Here is a 19,255-nt window from a genome sequence, read left to right as displayed (position 1 = left end):
ATTCTGAGATTTAAAATGACCGCTCCACCCCAACTGTTAATGGAAAACTATTAAAAAATAAAATTGCAGTCAAGTTCTTTGTCCTGGTAGAATGCAGTAGAACAAGCACAGGATGTGAAATACGGATTTTAACAAAGATGCTGACCCAAACTTTGCCCATCTCCCGCCAAAGAAGCCAGCAGCATCATGTCCCTTCGCCCCAGGCGCACGATGGCAGGCTGACTGGCAACCAAGATTACACATTCAACCTTCGTCTCCCAAGAGCTTCTGTTCTTGCAGAAACCCCTGATCTATCTTGCCATAAGTCAGGTACCAGAAGTACCACTCTGGAGGAGGCCAGCTCCTGTGTTGAGGTTTTTCGTGGACTGATTTTTTTGGTGTGGGTCTCTACCAAACCCCAGATGCTGAAAAGGGCCTCCAGAGGGGCGGATGTAGGTAGCAAACCCGAAAGCTAGTGATTTCAGGATTTCAGCTACCCATCCCCTGCCAAGTAAGATGAATCACATGCGGTGGAGTTAACAGCACAGAGCAACACAGAAGGCTTTGTCCCCTGGTCCCTGGCTGACAAATCCACAGCCCTGGCCGCCCTTGCCAGCTCTGTCTCAGGGTTGCTCTGTCCCCAGAGATCTTTAAATGTGGGATAGGCAGGCATCTATCCCAAGTGTTTACAGCATGGCCCCAAGGCAAGGAGTGGATTAAACTCTTTCTAGAAATATGTTTCAGCCTTAGAGGAGGGACAAGGAGGCAGCTGTTATTAATGAATGAATGGATAGACCAGCACACATTGCAGGGGCTTCCTGAAGCTCCTCTCCCTCCATCTGAGCTGCTGTAGGGTGCTTAAGAGTAACAGACTGGATAGATTCCCAGGCCAAGCCAGGGCCGCTCCTCTTTGCCCCTACCTCCCAGCAAAGTCTACAGCAAGCTTGCCCAACCCATGGCCCACAGGTCACATGCAGCCCAGGATGGCTTTGAATGCAGCCTAACACAAATTCATAAACTCTGTTAAGACATTATGAGATTTCTTTGCAAAATTTTTTTATTTTAGCTCATCAGCTGCCTTAGTGTTAGTGTATTTTATGTGTGGCCCAAGACAATTCTTTTTCTTCCAGTGTGGCCCAGGGAAGCCAAAAGATTGGACACCCATGGTCTAGAGTGATTTCGGTCCCCTCCCAAAGAACCAACCTCCGGCCAGGCGCTGTGGCTCACCCCTGTAATCCCAGCACTTTGGGAGGCCAAGGCGGGCAGATCACAAGGTCAGGAGATCGAGACCATCCTGGCTAACATGGTGAAACCCCGTCTCTACTAAAAATACAAAAATTATCTAGGTGTGGTGGCGGGCGCCTGTAGTCCCAGCTACTCGGGAGGCTGAGGCAGGAGAATGGCGTGAACCCAGGAAGCAGAGCTTGCAGTGAGCCGAGATCACGCCACTGCACTCCAGCCTGGGCGACAGAGCGAGACTCCCTCTCAAAACAAAACAAAAAAAGAACCAACCTCCACACCCCAGAGCTACCCTTTCACTGCTGTGAAAGCCCCTCCAGGTATTCACACTGGAGGAATGTTTGTACCGTGGGGATAATGCCAGTTCCACTGGGGCAGGGACTTCTGTCTTCTCAGTAGCTAGAAGAATATATGGCACAAATAAATATTTGCTGAATGAATAAATAAAAGGAAAGTGGCTTTAAGTCACTGTTGTTCAACCAAAGTACTTTTCTTTTTGTCTTTTCTTTTTTAAACCATGTAACATTTTAAGCAAACACCCAAAAAGGAGAATACTAGAATCATAAAACCCCATATGCTCATCACACAGCTACAGCATATATTCAGACCCAACTGCCTTTTTTTTTTTTTTTTTTTTGGTTTTTATTATGGAGACTTGTAAATATACATAAAAATAGGAGAATACCATAATAAACCCCGTATGTGTGTTATCCAGCTTCAACAATTATCAACAATAGCAAACCAACTTTACCACACTGAAAATGCAATAAACGGTTTTGGAGAGTAACCACATCAGTTTAGTTCTGAGCTATTTAGAGACAAACCTAACATCTTATAATTACATTCAACTTCCTTTCTGGAAAGAGATCCAGAAAATGGCTTTTTCTTCTCCCTTTAACTTGCAAAGCAGTCCCCCAATTTCAGCCTGTGCATAAGTAAAAGTAGACGTGGAGACACATATAGAAAAGTACCCCACCTCCAGCCAGCTATGATCTGTGTTTATCTTATCAGGATAATACTAAACCAGGCCCGCGTAGAACAAGGCGTTTAGTCTTTGCAGATGGGCTTCTGTTCCTAGCCACCAGTTCAGTTTATAAATCCACTGTCCAAGGCGGAAAACAATTTGAAAGGCAACATTGTTCCTGGACAAGGCTTTTACTGTGATAACGGAGCTTGTGTGGCTCCTGTCTACTTCATAAATTGCCCAGCCCTGGGGTTACAGCCAGGGGGCATTGGCAGGAGTATTGTGTGGTATCTCATCCTTCCTGAGCCCATCCACGTGGCGAGTGTATCAGTCAAATCAGACATAGGAGCATTTATGGAGCCCCTAGGATCATGAGGGTCGGGGCGGGGGTGGGGGGTTCTGCTCTGAGGGGGACAGAATGGAGCAGAGGTCATGGTCCCTGCCAGGGGATATGACTCAGTGTTTCTCAGAGGGAGGACTTAGCTGCCACTGGTGATCTGATTTTCAGAGCAACCCAGGGATTTGCACTGTGGCATAGCGAGCTCATTGTTTGGAACACTTGGATTTTGGGCTTCGTTGAGATGGTGTGGTGGTGATGGGCACTGATGGAGATTGTGGGAGATTGGGTGAGACAGAGCCTCTCCCCAGAGCCTCCACCCTCTGTCCCTGATCTTACTGGGAGCAAATTGAAGATAGACACCTTCATCTGGGGATAATCAGGAAAGTTTTTGCAATAAAATGAAATATGTGCCAGGGGCTTGGTGGCTCACACCTGTAATCCCAGCACTTTGGGAGGCCAAGGTGGGCAGATCACTTGAGTTCAGGAGTTCGAGACCAGCCTGGGCAACATGGCGAAACCCCATCTCTACAAAAAATACAAAAATTAGCCAGAAGTGGTGGCGTGCACTTGTAGTCCCAACTACTCAGGAGGCTGACATGGGGGGATCACCTGATCTCTCGAGTTCCAGGTTGCAGCGAGCTGTGATCAGACCACTGCACTCCAGCCTGGGGGACGAGTGAGATCCTGTCTCAAAAAAAGAAAAAGAATAAGAAATATGTAAAAGTATTTTGCAAAGCCGTGAAAATGAAACGTCTGGTGTTATGGCTATTAGCAGAAAGAAACAAGAACATTGTGGGCAGAATGTAGTAGAACACATTGGGCCCAGACACATAATCAGCAGTCTCGGGCCAGGGTCCTAAGTTCTGTCTATAAAACGCAGCTGCTGAAGCGTATCTCATGAGGCGCTTGTAACCGCAAGCTGATCATACAGGCCAAGCCTCTAGCACAGAGCAGGACACATAGCAGGGCTCAAAAATGGTAGGCAGTAACAATGTCACAATTGTATTTTTTTATAATATGATTTATAATACACTTTATAACATAATTATTAAAAGCAGGTTCATAAAGGTGCTAAAAACAGGTGAGTAGGTCTGTGTGGATACATTGGAAGTTCCCTGGTGGGGTGTGGCAGTAGATTGGAAGAAAATTTATATGGAAATCAGAGAGATAGGGGGCCCTGAATGCTTCTCTGAGGAGCGTGGGTCTCATATGTCAGACAGCAGACAACACCTGGGCGCTTTTGAGCGAGATGGGAATGGTGAGGAGAGTCCATTAAGCCCAGCGGAACAGGAACAGACTCCGGGATCAGATCTCGGTTTAAACATGGAAGAGTCACTTACCCTCCCTGAGCCTGGCTTCTTTGATCTTAGAATGGGGATTAGTATTAGCCACGTCCCCTCTTGCAGCTGTCCTGGTAGGTACCTTGTAAATGGCGACTGCTATTATTTGTGCTTAGAAGGATCATCCCTCCTGTGGGGTGGAGGACAGGGGAAGGAGCAAGTAGACTCAGAGGCCGGGGTAAGGAGCCAGGTGGGGACTCAGGCTTTGCCATGCTTTCCGATCTCCACCTTGGACCGCAACTGAAATGCCAACTCCTGCCTTCCCCTCCCCCTGCCCCATGACTCCCAATCCCACCTGTTTCCTTCCGAGATCTTCACAAGCTGTAATTATATACACTTTTTTCCTCGCTTAATTATTGTCTGTCTCTCCTTGCAGACTCTTTGCCCCATAGCGGGGTCTGTTTCACCACGCCCAGCATCCAGGTGTGGTGGTGCCTGCCCCTGCATTAGTCTCCTGTGGCTGCCTAACAAATTACCACAAACTGGGTGGCTTAGAACAGCAGAAGTTGATTCTCTCACACTTCCCAAGGACAGAAGTTGGAAATCAAGGTGCCAGCAGATAGCTGTGCTCTCTGCAGGCTCTGGAAGGAGGACCCTTCCTTGCTGCTTTCCAGCTCCTGGTGGCTGCAGGCATCCTTTGGCTGGTGGCCGCATCATTCCGGTCTCTGTCTCTGCCTTCACTTCACGCAGCCTTCCTCCTCCTCTCCTCTGTGGGTCTCTCCTCTGGTTGTCTTTTCTAAGGACACTCGTCATTGAATTCAGGGCCCACCTAGATAATCTAGAATGATCTTATCTCTACCTCCTGAAGTTAATTACATCCACAAAGACCCTTTTTTTTGTAAATAAATCATATTCCTAGGTTCTAGGACATGGCTATCTTTTGGGGACTACCATGCAACCCTCTGCACCCTCTTCTGTGTGAGATTTCTCCCAAAGGAAAGAAGTTTTCAGTCTATGGCCATAATGCCCAGTTAGTACTTGGATGGGAGAAATATTCAGCAATAACAGCTTGCCAGGAAGCACCCAGGGGGTGCAGCGCCCTGTTTTAGGCACAGAATCCAGCTGGCTGCAGCCCAGGCAGCTCCTTCCCTCATGGAGCTTATTCCCTGGATGAGCAGATGCATGTGGACATGTCAGGCTGTGGATACTACGTGCCGGGAAGAAAAACTCAAGCCAGGAATGGCTCAAAACTCCTGAGAACATGATAGGGAGGAGTGGGGGTAGAGAGGGTTCTGTTTGAGGAGGAGACACTGAGGCAGAGACCCAATCAAGGGAGGGACAGAGGCCTCTGGGAGATGAGGTCAGAGTAACTCAAAACAGACTTCCCGTTTCTACCCTTCTTGGCATTTCTGACCTTTGTGTACCCCATTCCCTTGATTTCCAAAGAGAACCAAGGAACTGCATACCAGCAGAAAGAAAGGGGCAGCTGCTTCTTAAAGGGAGGAGATCACAAAAGAAGGGTCAAGGGAAGGTCTATGCTCAACTAAGGGCAGCCATGCCCACAGCACCTGCCTGGCCTCGGTCCAGAAAGATGGAGTGAGAGACAGAGACTCTCCCGGGGAGGAAATATCGTAATGGATGTCCATGGAGGCCACCAGCATCTCCAGTTCACAGAGCCAGGACAGGAGCATCTGCAAGGCAAAGTAGCCTGGGATGACAGTCAGCAGACCCCAGCCCCAGGTCTTCTCTCTGGTGGCCCAGGGTTTGTCAAAGGGAAAATGCTATTTTGGATTGTGGTAGACGGACCCTGAGGGGACCACCCCACCCTGCCCACAAGGTTCCTCCACCTTCGTATTCAAGTTTTGTCCGTCATCTTCTGGCCACCATTCCTTAGCTTGCCGTGGAACCACTGGAGGTGACCCAAAAGGAATTTCCAAACCAGCCCTGCTACAAAACAAGTCCCGCAGTGGTTGGGGCAATGGAGGGGAGCCCCACAGAGCCGCCCTGCAGACAGCTGCACAGTGGCGAGCAGCTGAGATCCGGGTATCGTGATGTCTGAGACCAAGGAGACAGTTCTTCCAAAGTCTCTGAAACAGGAGCCAGAGAAGGAAGCCACGATGGGTACCAGGGCTCGGGGAGGTATCCTAAGGAGCCAATTCTAGCTCTCCTTCCTGAAGTTTAATAAAGAAGAAAATCACATGAGCTCAGAATGAAGCACCATCTTTGGTTTTCATTTACATGTTCCACAGCCCGGTGGCAACCTCACAGTGGATTTTGTGAGACCCCCTTCTCAGGAGTCCCCATGCTCAGCAGAGCCAGCATGAGAGAGGGCTCGGGCCACCCTGCCTCACCCACCGCTGGCTCCACTTCCCCAAGACTGTGTCTGCCAGCCATGCTGCAAGCTGGGAAGCCCAGCACAACCTCCTCTATCTTCCTCCTCTTCTTCCTCTGGGACTCCCTCAGTCCAGCCCCAGACTGAGCAAGGAGAGGACTCTGTCCCCTCGGGAGAGTCAGGGCAGGGAGGTGGGTGCTTTTTCTATAAAGAGCTGGGGGCTGGGCTCGGTGGCTCACCCCTGTGGTCCCGGCACTTTGGGAGGCCGAGGCGGGTGGATCACGAGGTCAGAAATTCGAGACCAGCCTGGCCAACATAGTGAAACCCCGTCTCTACTAAAAACACAAAAAATTAGCCAGGCGTGGTGGTGGGCGCCTGTAATTCCAGCTGCTTGGGAGGCTGAGGCAGGAGAATCGCTTGAATCTGGGAGGCAGAGGTTGGAGTGAGCCGAGATTGCGCCATTGTACTCCAGATTGAGGAGTGGCATGGCCATTTGTCCTCCAGGAAGTTGATTGTGGCAGCTGCGGGCTGCTGTTTCCTTGGCTGTGGGTCTCAGGTGCTGTTGGATTCTGTGCTGCTGAGCGTGCAGCGGCTTTCGTGAGATCTGCCACGCTTGGAAAGCAAGATGCTTACTATTGTGCGACCGCCCAAGGAATGGACAGTTTATTGATCTAATTTTTAAGTAAAACATTTTAATAATGTTTAAAGGCTTTTGAGCTCTCCTGGCCCAGCCCTACCCGGCATCAAGGCAGCTGCCTGTTTAAAGCATTCTAAAGAGAGGGCAGCACTGCCAGTCTGAACATCTGTTTTGATTAAAGATGGGGAGGAGAGAGGAAAGGAAGTTTCCCAGACCGTGAGCTTGCTGGCTGGTCAGTGTTCCCTGCAGCTTTGTAGAAGTGGGGGCACCTGAGGAGCATGTTCTCACACAGCTTCCTGGGACAAGAGGACAGTGGGAGGGTGGGTGGGCCCAGGGGAGGGGGGCCAAAGGGCATGTCTTCATGAGGGCTCAGCCTTTTGACCTAGATTGGAGGCTGCCTTTGAATTTGAGATTCATTATTTTCCCTTTTGCCTTCTATTTTTGTCTTGGGACTCTAATTTCAAATTGATCCAGATGTTTGGTTTATAAGAAGATATTTGGCATCCGATAAAACCCCTAGAATGCTGATAGTATTTAATATCCTTTTAGTGCTGGGTGTATCCAAATTGTGTATAATATTAGCACTTCTTGGCAAACAGGTCTTGTCTAAGAAAGCAGACCCTGGTTAGGTCTGAGCCCCGTCCAGATGAGAGTGAGTGCTTTGATGAGGTGCTGCTGAGATCCAGCCATGAGGTTTCAGCTCCATGCTCTCTGCCCCTCCTTCTTTTTTCCAGTCCCAAGTTGTCCTGTGTGTACAAGTATCTCATGGACATTGATGTGAACACATGAACAACTTTCTTTACCTCTCTGTTCTCATCCCCACCCCATCTGATAGGGTTTGGCTGTGTCCCCATTCAAATCTCAGCCTGAATTGTATCTCCCAGAATTCCCACAAATTGTGGGAGGGAACCAGGGGGAGGTAATTGAATGATAGCAGCTGGTCTTTCCTGTGCTATTCTCGTGATAGTGAATTAGTCTCATGAGATCTGATGGGTTTATCAGGGATTTCCACTTTTACCTCTTCCTCATTTTCTCTTGCTGCCACCATGTAAGAAGTGCCTTTTGCCTTCCGCCATGATTCTGAGGCCTCCCCAGCCATGTGGAAGTGTAAGTCCAATTAAACCTCATTTTCTTTCCAGTCTCAGGTATGTCTTTATTAGCAGCATGAAAACAGACTAATGCATCACCTCATCATTGTAGGATTTGAGCAGTTTAATAAAAATGCGCTATTTTGGTCGGGCGCGGTAGCCCACGCCTGTAATCTGAGCCCTTTGGGAGGCCGAGGCGGGTGGTTCGCAAGGTCAGGAGATCGAGACCATCCTGGCTAATGTGGTGAAACCCTGTCTCTACTAAAAATACAAAAAATTAGCCAGGTGTGGTGGCAGGCACCTGTAGTCCCAGCTACTCAGGAAGGCTGAGGCAGAAGAATGGCATGAACCCAGGAGGCAGAGCTTGCAGTGAGCCGAGATCGCGCCACTGCACTCCAGCCTGAGTGACAGAGCGAGACTCCGCCTCAAAAAAAAAAAAAATCCACTACTTTGAGGTAGGTGGGGGAGGGATTATAATCCCCCTGTTTAGGCACAGGCTCCCAGGTTCAGCAGGCGAGTCCCGTTTCCTGTCTCCTGATTCCTCAAGGACAGAGGTCACATATCCTATATAGTGCTAAACCTCCTATTTGGCACTGTTGACCAAACTTGGACAGTGTCGTAGCTGGCAGAGAAAGATCTGATCCAGAAATCTTTATGTTTGCAAGGTTCTGGGAATGTTTTAGAGAAAACATTCCCAAATGAAAGTCATCTACGCATGGGAATGACTCCAGTGTGAGTCAAGAGCATGCACAAGCTGTATTTTTATTTAGTTTCCACTTATGAATAATTCTCCAAAATGCCACAGGTTCACAATTTCCATGTTAGTGGAATTCATCTCAAACAGCTGAAATTATTTAATGTACTGTTTTTCATTGAAAATACCTTTTGATCCAGCCACTGAACTGTTAGTGGAAACAGCGAATGAGGACGAAACCGTCAACTCTTACATTTCTGGCACAAAGTAGGTGTTCAGTAAGTAACTGTCAAGTGAGTAGATGAATCTGTCTGCTGGAAGGACCATTAGTTATCAGGTGATTACACTGGCTAACCATTTTTTTTTTATATACATGAAATAGATCTCAGAGGGGCTGGACCAAGGGTAAGGCCGGGTCTACACTTGACACGGAAAGAAACAGGTGCAGAGAATTTGGGGGAAAGAATAACTTGCCCAAAGTCACCTCTAGGAAATGCCTGAGCCAGGATTGAGCTCAAGATTACTCCAAGTCCCTTCTCCCTGCACATGGTCATCTGTGAGGATTGCACTTCTGAATCACCCTCGGGGTTGTTCAGTAGGCCTCACCTCCAGAGTCAGCATCTGTGTTTGGAGAAAGCTCCCAGGAGGTCCCCCACCCCTAGTCTGCCCTCACCTGTGCAGACTCCATGTATGGAATCATTCCTTTGAGCTAAGCCTTTGAGAGTCCTCCTATAAAATGGTGTGGCCCTTCTGAGACTTTCCCCTCCCCAGTGTGGCCACTTCCTCCCTTGTACAGATTTGGGAAATCTGGTCTGGTTTATCTACTCTAGACGTTTCCAGGTGACTGCCATTCCTTGGAGCTGTGTTCTCCTCTCCCCTCCCAGCCCTGCACTGGACCTGGTCTTGTTGGTCTCGGGCACACCAGGAGCCCTGCTGTGACCTTCACAAGTGCTTGATGGTCTTATGAGAGAGGGTGGAGTGGAGTCTATAGAGTGGGCCTCCCTTCCCTGAGACTCCACCACCTCTCTTTCCTTCCATCCCACCACCACAGGGTGCATCTGGTGTCTCCGATGTCACTGAAGGATTTGGGGGAACCAAAAGGGCATTATAACACAAGAAGGAAGGAGGTTATAGAACTGTTCACAAAATACTCTCTTACATGTCCATCTCATTGTGTCGATCCATTCATAAGCTGATGGACATTTGGGTGGTTTCCACCTTTTGGTGATGTGAATAATGCTGCCATGCACATGTGTGTACAAGTACGTGTTTATCTGTTTCAGTTTCCCTTTTCATATCCCAAGGGAAAAGTACCCGAGAAGCTAATCCTCCAAACCCCGTGTGAGTACCCCCAGCACTTCAATATTCTCCCTTCTTCTGAGAGCCAGGAGCCCCTTGGGGAATTCTCCGACGTGTATCCTCTGACTCCTAACTTGTTTTTAGGAAACCTCACCAGGACGTCCCCCTGGGAGGAGGTTTGGTTTCATCCCCTCTTCCCAGCTGTCAGATCCCAACACCAACACAGGCACATGCCTTCAAAGTTTCAGGAAGTCCTGCTGTGGCAGCTTTGGTACCCCCATCCCATGGGACAGTCTCACCTGGGCTCTTGAGCCCCGCCACCAGCCTGGGTACAGATGGGCCTCGCTTGCCCCAGCGCGTCACTCCTGGATCACACACGCTCCCCAGAAGGAGGAAGGAGAGTATTTCCTGGCTTCCCTGCAGCTTGCAAGGCCCCCTCCCAGTGGAGTGTATGATCCCCTCACACAGCGCTCGGTGGAGAGGAGGCTTTCTTTGAACATCCCCCACTTTGGAAATTTTCATAATGTAAAATTAGCCACTTGGAAGTGAACCATTTATTGGCATTTAGTACTGTCAATGTTGTACAACTGCCACCTCTATCTTCCAAAATGTTTTCATCACCCCAAAAGAAAAGTCCATACCCATAAGCAGCCACCCTGTCTTCTCCCTCCCCCCACAGCCTTTGGCAACCACAAATCCATCTACCGTTGCTATGGATTTGCCTGTTTGGGGCATGTCATGTCAGTGGAATCGTACAATATGTGACCGTTCGTGTCTGGCTGCTTTCACTTAGCATGGATGTTTTTGAGGTTCATCTGCATTGTGGCATAGATCAGCACTTCATTCACTTTCTCGGCTGAATAATATTCTCCTACATGCCCACCACGTTGTGTTGACCCTCCATAGGCTCATGGACAATTGGGTTGTTTCTACCTTTTGGCGATTGTGAATAATGCTGACATGAACAGGTGTGTGCAAGTGTGTATTTAAGTCTCTGTTTCCATTTCTGTATGGTGTATACCCAGGAGTGGAATTGCTGACTTATATGGTAATTCTGTGTCTCTTCTCCCCACTTTTCAAAACTGCCCCATCGGGCCTTCCATGACCTCTATAGCTGCACATAGACCCAGCTGAACGCTTTCAAACAATTACTTTCAAGGGGCTGGTTAATTTCTTAGAAAAGGCAAATCCTCCTCCCTATCTTGGGAGAGTGAGCGGAGGTGAGATTTTATCTTCTCGACTGCATTTAGAACCACTTATTAACGCTCTAGCATGAAACTGAGTACAGTCGAGCATCGGGCCAGCCACCTACAAGGCTGTCACTGTGCAGAGGACACCAAATATTTACCGGATTTTTGATTGGCAAGGGGCTCGGGAGGGGTCCATGGCACAGGAGACAGGACAGGGATGACTGGCTGGCCCACCTCAGGTACCTGCTCCAAGAGGGGCCCTGGGCAGTGTGGGGGGAAACAGAACACCAGTTGTCTTGGGGAGTAGAGGTACCCAGAGCCTGCGGGGTGTGAATAGACAGATGTCACAAATCACCTTGGTATTTGCACCTGTTGAACAAAGTCAGAGCTAGAGTAGCTGCAGCCATATTTCTGGAGTCCCCAGAGTCTACCCACCAGGGGGAACCTGACCTTTCTCACCTCTTCTTGGACCCCTCTACATCAGAGACAGCAATTTGGTTCCAGGGATTTGCACAGACCAGTTGATGCCCACTGAAGCGAACCCTTTCCCCTGAGGTCCTGCTGCTACATTAAGTTTGCCTGGAACTATCCCTTACCCTATGTGAAGTAATTTGACGACTGGAAACTACTGTGAAAAGTATATGTGAACTGCTCATGCCCTAAGGATCTCCCATTGCCACCTGAAGTCCTGTTAAACTTGGGGAGCCATGGGGGACACATGGGGAGCAGCCACTGCATCCTCCACTTCCTGAAGAGGATCGCTCAGAGGAGGCATTTGTCCCCAGTGGAGGGCAGCTGAAGGCACACATGGTATGGCCTGGCAGTCGCCAGTTGGCCTCGCCTGGACTGAGGGGGTTGTCCAGCATGACACGGCTGCAGGGTTTCCAGGTAGAGAAGCTGCATTATTTGCCTGGAAAATATTCACATCTCTCTCCTGCCATAATGCTTGGCCACTGGGCCCCCTCGTAGCCTGGCACCAGCTTCTAGCTCCAACAATGACTGTATTTTGTACTTCCTCTGTGCCCTTCATTCAGGTATCTTAGGCCCTATTCTTGTTCTGCCGGGTGCCTGCAAAGTACAGCTTCCTCATTCAGAGCAGAAACGGGCCTGTACAGGCCCAGGATAGCTCTGTGGCATCAAAGCACACTTGTCTTCCCTGAAGTTCGTAGTCGTTAATCAGCCCAGAGCATTTGACAGTCAGCTCAAGTGGCCTCCAGAGCTGCTGGGTTCTTTCCTGTTTGTCCCCGGCTTGGGTCATTCAACTGGAGTCATGCAATCCTTACATACAAAGGGACCCTCTGGTGTCGTTGGCTGTCAGTGGGGCACTCCGAGGTTCAAATTATGGCTCTCCAGGAGGTGTGTGGCCTTGGAGATGTCACTGTATGCCACAGAGCCTCAGTTTCTGCATGTGAAAAATTGGAATAATTATGCCTACTTGGCAAAGATTTTGCAGGTTCAACAATAGAACCTATAGAGCATCCAGCCGGGTCTTGGCATATGCTTGTTGGTCAAAGGCGGCTGCTGCCAGGATTTTGTCAGCTTCAACACTATTAGCATGATGGACCTTCCCTACTCCATGCCTCCTCCTCACAGGAGTCTATTTGCCCCACATCTTAGGATCTCTGTATTTTCAGCAATGGTTTTCAAACAGCCTCCCACAGAGTTCTACAGTTTATGGTGGGTGTGAGGAGCAAAGCTTTGCTCTCATCTGTTTTCAATATTATGCTCCTGGCCAGGCGCGGTGGCTCACGCCTGTAATCCCAGCACTTTGGGATGTCGAGGCAGGTGGATCAAGAGGTCAGGAGATCGAGACCATCCTGGCTAACATGGTGAAACCCCATCTCTACTAAAAATACAAAAAATTAGCTGGGCGTGTTGGCACGCGCCTGTAGTCCCAGCTACTCGTGAGGCTGAGGCAGGAGCCGGAAGGCGGAGGTTGCAGTGAGCCGAGATCGCACCATCGCACTCCAGCCTGGGCAACAGAGCGAGACTGTCTAAAAAAAAAATGCTCCTACCCAAGAGTTTGCCAGCCTGGGCAACGTAGTGAGACCCTGTGTCTACAAAAATTTTTTAAAAAAACTAACCAGGCATGATGGCATACGCCTGTAGTCCCAGCTACTTGGGAGACTGAAGTGGGAAGATGGCTTGAGCCTAGGAGTTTGAGGTTATAGTAGCTGTGATTGTGCCACCAAACTCCAGCCTGGGTGACAGAGCATGACCCTGTCTCAACAACAGCAACAAAATTAAAACACTTAAAAAAAAGGACTTTATTTGAAGAAAAGAATTCCCCTCCTGATTAATTTGGAAAATAGCTATTCGGAAGCCTCTTGGGAGTCTGTATATTTCTTTAGCATGTCTAGGTGATGACTAGCAGGTGACACAAGCATGCTCTTCCTTTAATGGCAAGTGGCAGAGGGATGGATTAAATGACCTGTGGTGGTCCCATTACGCCCCTGTTTAGAAGATACTCTAATTTAAATCTTTTACTGCAAGGGAAGCCCATTTAATAGGGAATCTGCTGGCAGTCTCTTTTTTCATAGGCCCCTTATAAACTTGAACATATGCCCTGATTCCTGCCTGTGGAGCACACGCTGAGGCTAGCATGTCGTTGGGCCATAGCTGGGCATTCACAGCAGCAGGTTGGGGAAGAGACGGGCAGAGGCCTGGCCCTGAGACTCAGCCCCCTCACTGGACAGAAGAACAGTTTTAGATGTTGAGAGGGAGCTCCACCTGCCAAGCAGAGGGGGGTCTGGAGGGAAGGGCCCAGGCAGGGTGTGGTGCACCTGTCTTTACTATCACGAACGAGCCAAGAGCCATGCTGGGTAAGGAGACGGGTGGAGCGGGACAGCAGTGGGATCCCGAATCAGGCACTGTTTGAAAGTGCAGGCAGACCCCAGTCAGCTTCTGGAAGGTCTGTCGCCACATAGCAAGACTCCTGACACTGGACGATGGCTCAGAAGCAGGGATGAGGCTCCAATCCTAGGAAAGCACAGCATCTGGCTGGAAGCATGCCAGCAACAGACCTGGGGGACAGGGACTCGTCCAAGCCCAGGAAAAAGGCAGATAGAGATACTGTTTGCAGAACAACAAAGAACAGATGTTGAGTGTCACATTATGGGTTGAGGAAAACCCCTAAGTGTACCTTGTGATAAGTCCAGATTGGTCCTAGGGACAAGACCAAGCCTGCAGATGGAGGTCAAGGGTCAAGAGGTCCACCTGTCAATAGATTTTTTTTTTTTTTAAGACAGAGTCTCAGTCACCTAAGCTGGAGTGCAGTGGTGGGATCATAGCTCACTGCAATCTTCATCTCCTGGGTTCAAGCAATTCTCCTGCCTCAGCCTCCTGAGTAGCTGGGATTATAGGCGTATACCACCACGCCTGGCTAATTTTTGTATTTTTGGTAGAGACAGGGTTTCATGTTGCCCAGGCTGGTCTTGAACTCCTGACCTCAAGTGATCCTCCCACCTCGGCCTCCCAAAGTGCTGGGATTACAGGCATGAACCACCACGCACAGCCCACCTGTGGATAGATCTGATGCAGAGGTTGGAAATTGGGCTGTTTCAAAATCAGAAAATGTCCCTGTATTCCTAAATCATTCCCTAATCCTAGATGACCATGTTGCATCTGTGTGTTGCATGGAAAGCCAAAGAAAAAGTATGAGGGGGACCTGGTAAAAACCCAGGTCAGATGAAAACTGACCTTTGCCACGTTCCTGAGATGAATCCTTTTGGGGCTTATTGTGTTTGAAGTAAAATTCAAGTTCACTCTCCCCATCACTTACTAGACTCCAGATACACAGGACTTCAAGTTTCTTGAACACACAAAGATCCTGCCCATCGCTGGGCCTCGTTCTTGTTCTTTCCTCTGCACAGAAAGTTATTTTGCCCTCAACCGCCCCTCCCCCTTTAATTCTTCAGATCTCAATTTCAGTTGCAGTTGCACCTTTTCAAAGAGTCCGCCTCTAAACACCCTTCCTAAACGAGGTCCTCCCCTGAAATTCTCCATCAGCTCCCAAAGGTGGCCTCCTTCGTAGCATCGGAGCAGAGTGTCCAGCGTGGGGGTATCTGTTTGCATACCACCTGTCTGCTCCCAAACTTCCTAAGAGCCTGGCCCTGTCTCATTCACCCCTGTGTCCCCGGCACCCAATTTGGGCCTTGGCATGTAGGAATGCTTAATAAATTGTTACCAACTAAATGGACGAACATCTACTCAGTGGAGTTGAATCGATGATCATTTCCCTGCTCAGCACCATTTGTATCTTGTGTCTGGCCCATTCTGAATTGGTTCAGCTGGGATCAGACGGAACCAAAAGTTCTGCAGGATGATTGCCACATGGCCTATGAGCTTAACGTGTCATCAGAACCCCCGGGGGGCCTGAGACAAACTTGTGTGCCCAGATATGCTGACAACTTCAAGCCATTGGGCACCCACACAGAGCACCAACAAATGCAGAGCCAAATGCTTTCTCTTGTAGCTACACTCTGAGGAAGCTCACCCCTCCACTCCCCAGCTCTCTGATGACACCGTAGTCCCCTTCTGCAAACAGAGTGAGCCTCAGTCAGGGACCACATCTGTGATTTGAAGCAGGAGAGAGACTCACCAAAGTCATAATCATGGGGGTGGATGATAGTGGTGGCCGCGATAAACCAGCTGCCAAATAGAGTTTGGGGACAGTGTTAAGGTCCCTTGATCTGGGGAGTCTCTTGAAAGCCTCCCAAGGTTTACAGTTGCTTCTTGGGGTCTAGAGGAAAGCACGATGCGTTATCCTTGGTCACTGTGGTCGGTGCTAGCAGGGCACGCCTGCCCAAACCTGGGACAGTGGCTGTGTCAGTTTCCCTGGTCGGAGAGAAAGGTCCTCTGTCCTGGCTTGTAGGCTCATTAGTGTTTGCTGCTCAATTTTATGATGTGTTACTTACCTTGTAAATTGTCTGCCTGTCCCACGAGCCTGGGCAAAGCCTCCAGGCCACAAGCTGGACACTTGTACCATTGACTTTACTAGGCTATGGTGCTGTAAATGTGCTGCTGACCTCTGGTATGGTGAGCCCAGGTGCCTCCGGGCAAGGGAGTGGGTTACGGGAACCCAGTCTCTTGACTCATGAGCTGTCCAGGGAGCCTACGGATAATCATCGTAAACTGCTAACAGACCTGGGGAAAGAGCCCTGTGGCTCCCCAGGGGCCAGAAGGAGAGCAGAAAAACCTCTCTGGTGAGTCACTGCAAATATTTACCCTTGAAAGTTTGATTGCAAAATCTTCTAAGCACTTGAATAGCCCTTCCCCTGGGACTTAAAGAGCCCCTCCACTAGCAGGAGTCAGATGGGTAGTGTTGGAAAAGGGTCAGGCAGGGTGATTCCCCCCTTTCAAAAACAGCCTGGGAAGAGCCCCAAGCTGCCAGACTGCCAAAGGAACCCAGGGGCTTAGACTTCTCTAGGAAAATGTAAGTGATGGAGTCCCAGGATTCCCAGCTCTCTCGGGGGACCTGTCTAAGAGCACATCTGACTTTGAGCTGCACTTTGGTTTTTTGGCTCTGTCTTTAGCTAAAGAGTTTTCTACGAGATCAACCCTTTGACTCTTGGTTGGAGCTTTTATGGCACAAGTATTGGGTGTGTAATCCCCTGTTGACCTCACTACTGCCAGAATCAGCCTCAGGCCAGGCGCAGTGGCTCACACCAGCACTTTGGGAAGCAGAGGCGGGAGGATCACTTGAGCCTAGGAGTCCGAGACCAGCCTGGGCAATATAGTGAGACCCCTGGCTCTACAAAAAATTTAAAAATTAGCCAGGTGTGGTGGTGTGTGCATGTAGTCCCAGCTACCCTAGGGGCTGAGGTGGGAGGATCCCTTGAGCACGAGAGGTTGAGGCTGCAGTGAGCCGTGACTGTGCCACTGCACTCTAGCCTATAGGAGATGGCGAGACCGTGTATCCAAAAAAAAAAAAAAAAAAATTAGTCTCAAGGAAATGGGGCAGCAAAACCAATGCAAATCATGACATTGGATCTATTTCTTCCTTCTTCCATGGGGGTGTATACTTTATCCATTTTTCGGTTCATCCTTCCTTCTTTCCTTCCATAGAGGATCTATTGAGAACCAGCTACATGGGAAAGTCTGAGTGGGCCTTTTACCAACAGTTACCTGTAGTAAATTAGAATGTAGGGGGCACCCAAAACATTCTGCATGAAGCAGCACCTTCAGAAGCCACTGATACCTTGCCACATGACAGTAAAGGTGCTGTGAGTGACAGTTCCTCTTGTAGATGCCAGTTTGCAGGAGGACTCAAAAGAGGTGCAAGTGGACAGTTTCCATTTTTCTTTGGTTTGCTGGCATTTTTGTTTTTTGTTTGTTTGTTGACAAAATGGGTGCCTCAAGATAATGTTCTAGGTCTTAGATTATTCAGATGGGAGAAGATGTGAACTTTTATCCTGTCCTAAAGATTGACTCATAAGTCAGACAGTTATATAAATAAAGGACTGATAAGAAGATAGTAGAGTCTCCACGTGAATCAGCAGCTTCCTTTACAGTGGAAACCACTTCATGATTGGAGGTGAAGAGCTGATGGTTACAGGACAGCCTCCCACAGAAATCATGGAGGCTTGGAGCTAAAAGAGACCATGAAAAGTTTTTTTTGTGGGGGTCAGTGAGTTTCTCATAGTCCAGCTGGGAAGAAGTTCAAAACCACCTGTCTTGCCCACAATCAGCTGTGCTTACCAGCTCACTACATTGACCCTTGGATAATGTGGGGCTTGGGGGCACCGGCCCCCTCCCCACACAGTCAGTTCCATTTAGTCAATTACACGTATAACTTTGGACTCCCCAAAAAATTAACTGCTGATAGCCTACCGTTGACCAGAAGCCTTACCAATAGCATAAACAGTCGATCAACACATATTTTTTATATGTATTATATACCAGCAGTCTCCAACCTTTTTGGTACCAGGGACCGGTTTCATGGAAGACAATTTTTCCATGGACTGGGGTGGGGGGAGGGATGGTTTCGGGATGATTCAAGCACATGACATTTATTGTGCACTTTATTTTTATTACAATCACATTGTAATATGTAATGAAATAATTATACAATTCCCCATAATGTAGAGGAGCTTGTTTTCCTGCAACTAGACCGTCCCATCTAGGGGTGATGGGGGACAGTGACCGATCATCACAACGTAGGTCCCTTGCATGTGCGGTTCACGATAGGGTTCGTGCTCCTCTGAGAGTCTAATGCTGCCGCTGATCTGATGGGAGGCGGAGCTCAGGTGGTAATGTGAGTGATGGGGAGTGGCTGTCAATACAGATGAAGCTTCGTTCGCTTGCCTGCCGCCCATCTCCTGCTGTGCAGGCCCAGTTCCTAACAAACCATGGACCAGGTCAGGTCTGTGGCCGAGGGGCTGGGGACCCCTGTTATATACTGTATTCTTACAATAAAGTAAATGAGAAAAAAGAAAATATTATTAAGAAAATCCTAAGGAAGAGAAAATATATTTACTATTCATTAAGTGGAAGTGGATCATCTTCACACTGAGTTCGCTGTGGAGGAGGAGGAAGAGGAGGTATTGGTCTGGCTGTCTCTGGGGTGGCAGAGACAGAAGAAAATCCACATGTAAGTGGACCTGCACAGTTCAAACCTGTGTTGCTCAAGGGTTGTTGTTCAACCCCTCGTTGTTTCAGAATGTGAAAATGTCTGCAGGGAAAATGGTTATTTCTCGCTTGTGGCTAGATGTCTGCGGCTGTGATAGGGAGAAGAGCAGGAGCAAAAGAGATGAGGAGAATGCAATTCGTGACTTCTCTCCTTCCCCCTGCCACCAGCCTCCACTGGTCTCTCTCCTGGACTATTGTCACCTCTGGCCACTCCTGCTTCCCTCCAACTTTCCACCCACAGCAGCTATAGCCAATGCTTAGAAACACAGTTCTAATCATGCAGCTCCTCACTTACATGGCCTCTAGCTGCTCCTATGATGCTCCTAAGCATGAAATCCTTAGCCTGTGACTCAGCAATTCCACTCCTCAGAGTAGGCCCAACATCACTGAAAACAGGCATTCAAACAAAAACATGTAGACCGGGTGCTGTGGCTCACACCTGTAATCCCAGCACTTTGGGAGGCCGAGGTGGGCGGGTCACCTGAGGTCGGGAGTTCAAGACCAGCCTGGTCAACATGGTGAAACCCAAAAAAATTACCTGGGCATGGTGTTGTGTGCCTGTAATCCCAGCTACTCATGAGGCT

The 19,255-nt window shown here is 49.0% G+C and overlaps 1 protein-coding gene across 16 annotated transcripts in view, besides 1 other annotated feature; it reads left to right on the top strand.

Annotated features, from left to right (window-relative positions):
- The window catches only part of SLC39A11 (solute carrier family 39 member 11), a 446,740-nt gene that overhangs the window by 392,374 nt on the left and 35,111 nt on the right, over positions 1 to 19,255 (top strand). The window contains exon 8 of one of the 16 annotated variants that reach the window (XM_011524495.4): positions 5,249 to 7,909. The exons of the other annotated variants lie outside the window; for them this stretch is intronic. Coding sequence (XP_011522797.1) covers positions 5,249 to 5,402 — 154 coding nt within the window. The 3' untranslated portion in view covers positions 5,403 to 7,909. Of the gene's footprint in view, positions 1 to 5,248; positions 7,910 to 19,255 lie in introns of those variants that run through there. 16 annotated transcript variants of the gene reach the window in all.
- Positions 13,357 to 13,857: an enhancer, noted in NCBI's record as "H3K27ac hESC enhancer chr17:70682597-70683097 (GRCh37/hg19 assembly coordinates)". NCBI's record gives its function as "activates a minimal SCP1, AML or CMV promoter by ChIP-STARR-seq in naive H9 embryonic stem cells {active_cell/tissue: H9 hESC(naive)}" and the evidence as "EXISTENCE:reporter gene assay evidence [ECO:0000049][PMID:30033119]".

This window comes from Homo sapiens, chromosome 17 (genome assembly GCF_000001405.40).
Source record: "Homo sapiens chromosome 17, GRCh38.p14 Primary Assembly".
NCBI lineage: Eukaryota > Metazoa > Chordata > Mammalia > Primates > Hominidae > Homo > Homo sapiens.
Note: the sequence above shows the minus strand (reverse complement) of the source record. Positions and strands in the feature narration are given on the sequence as shown.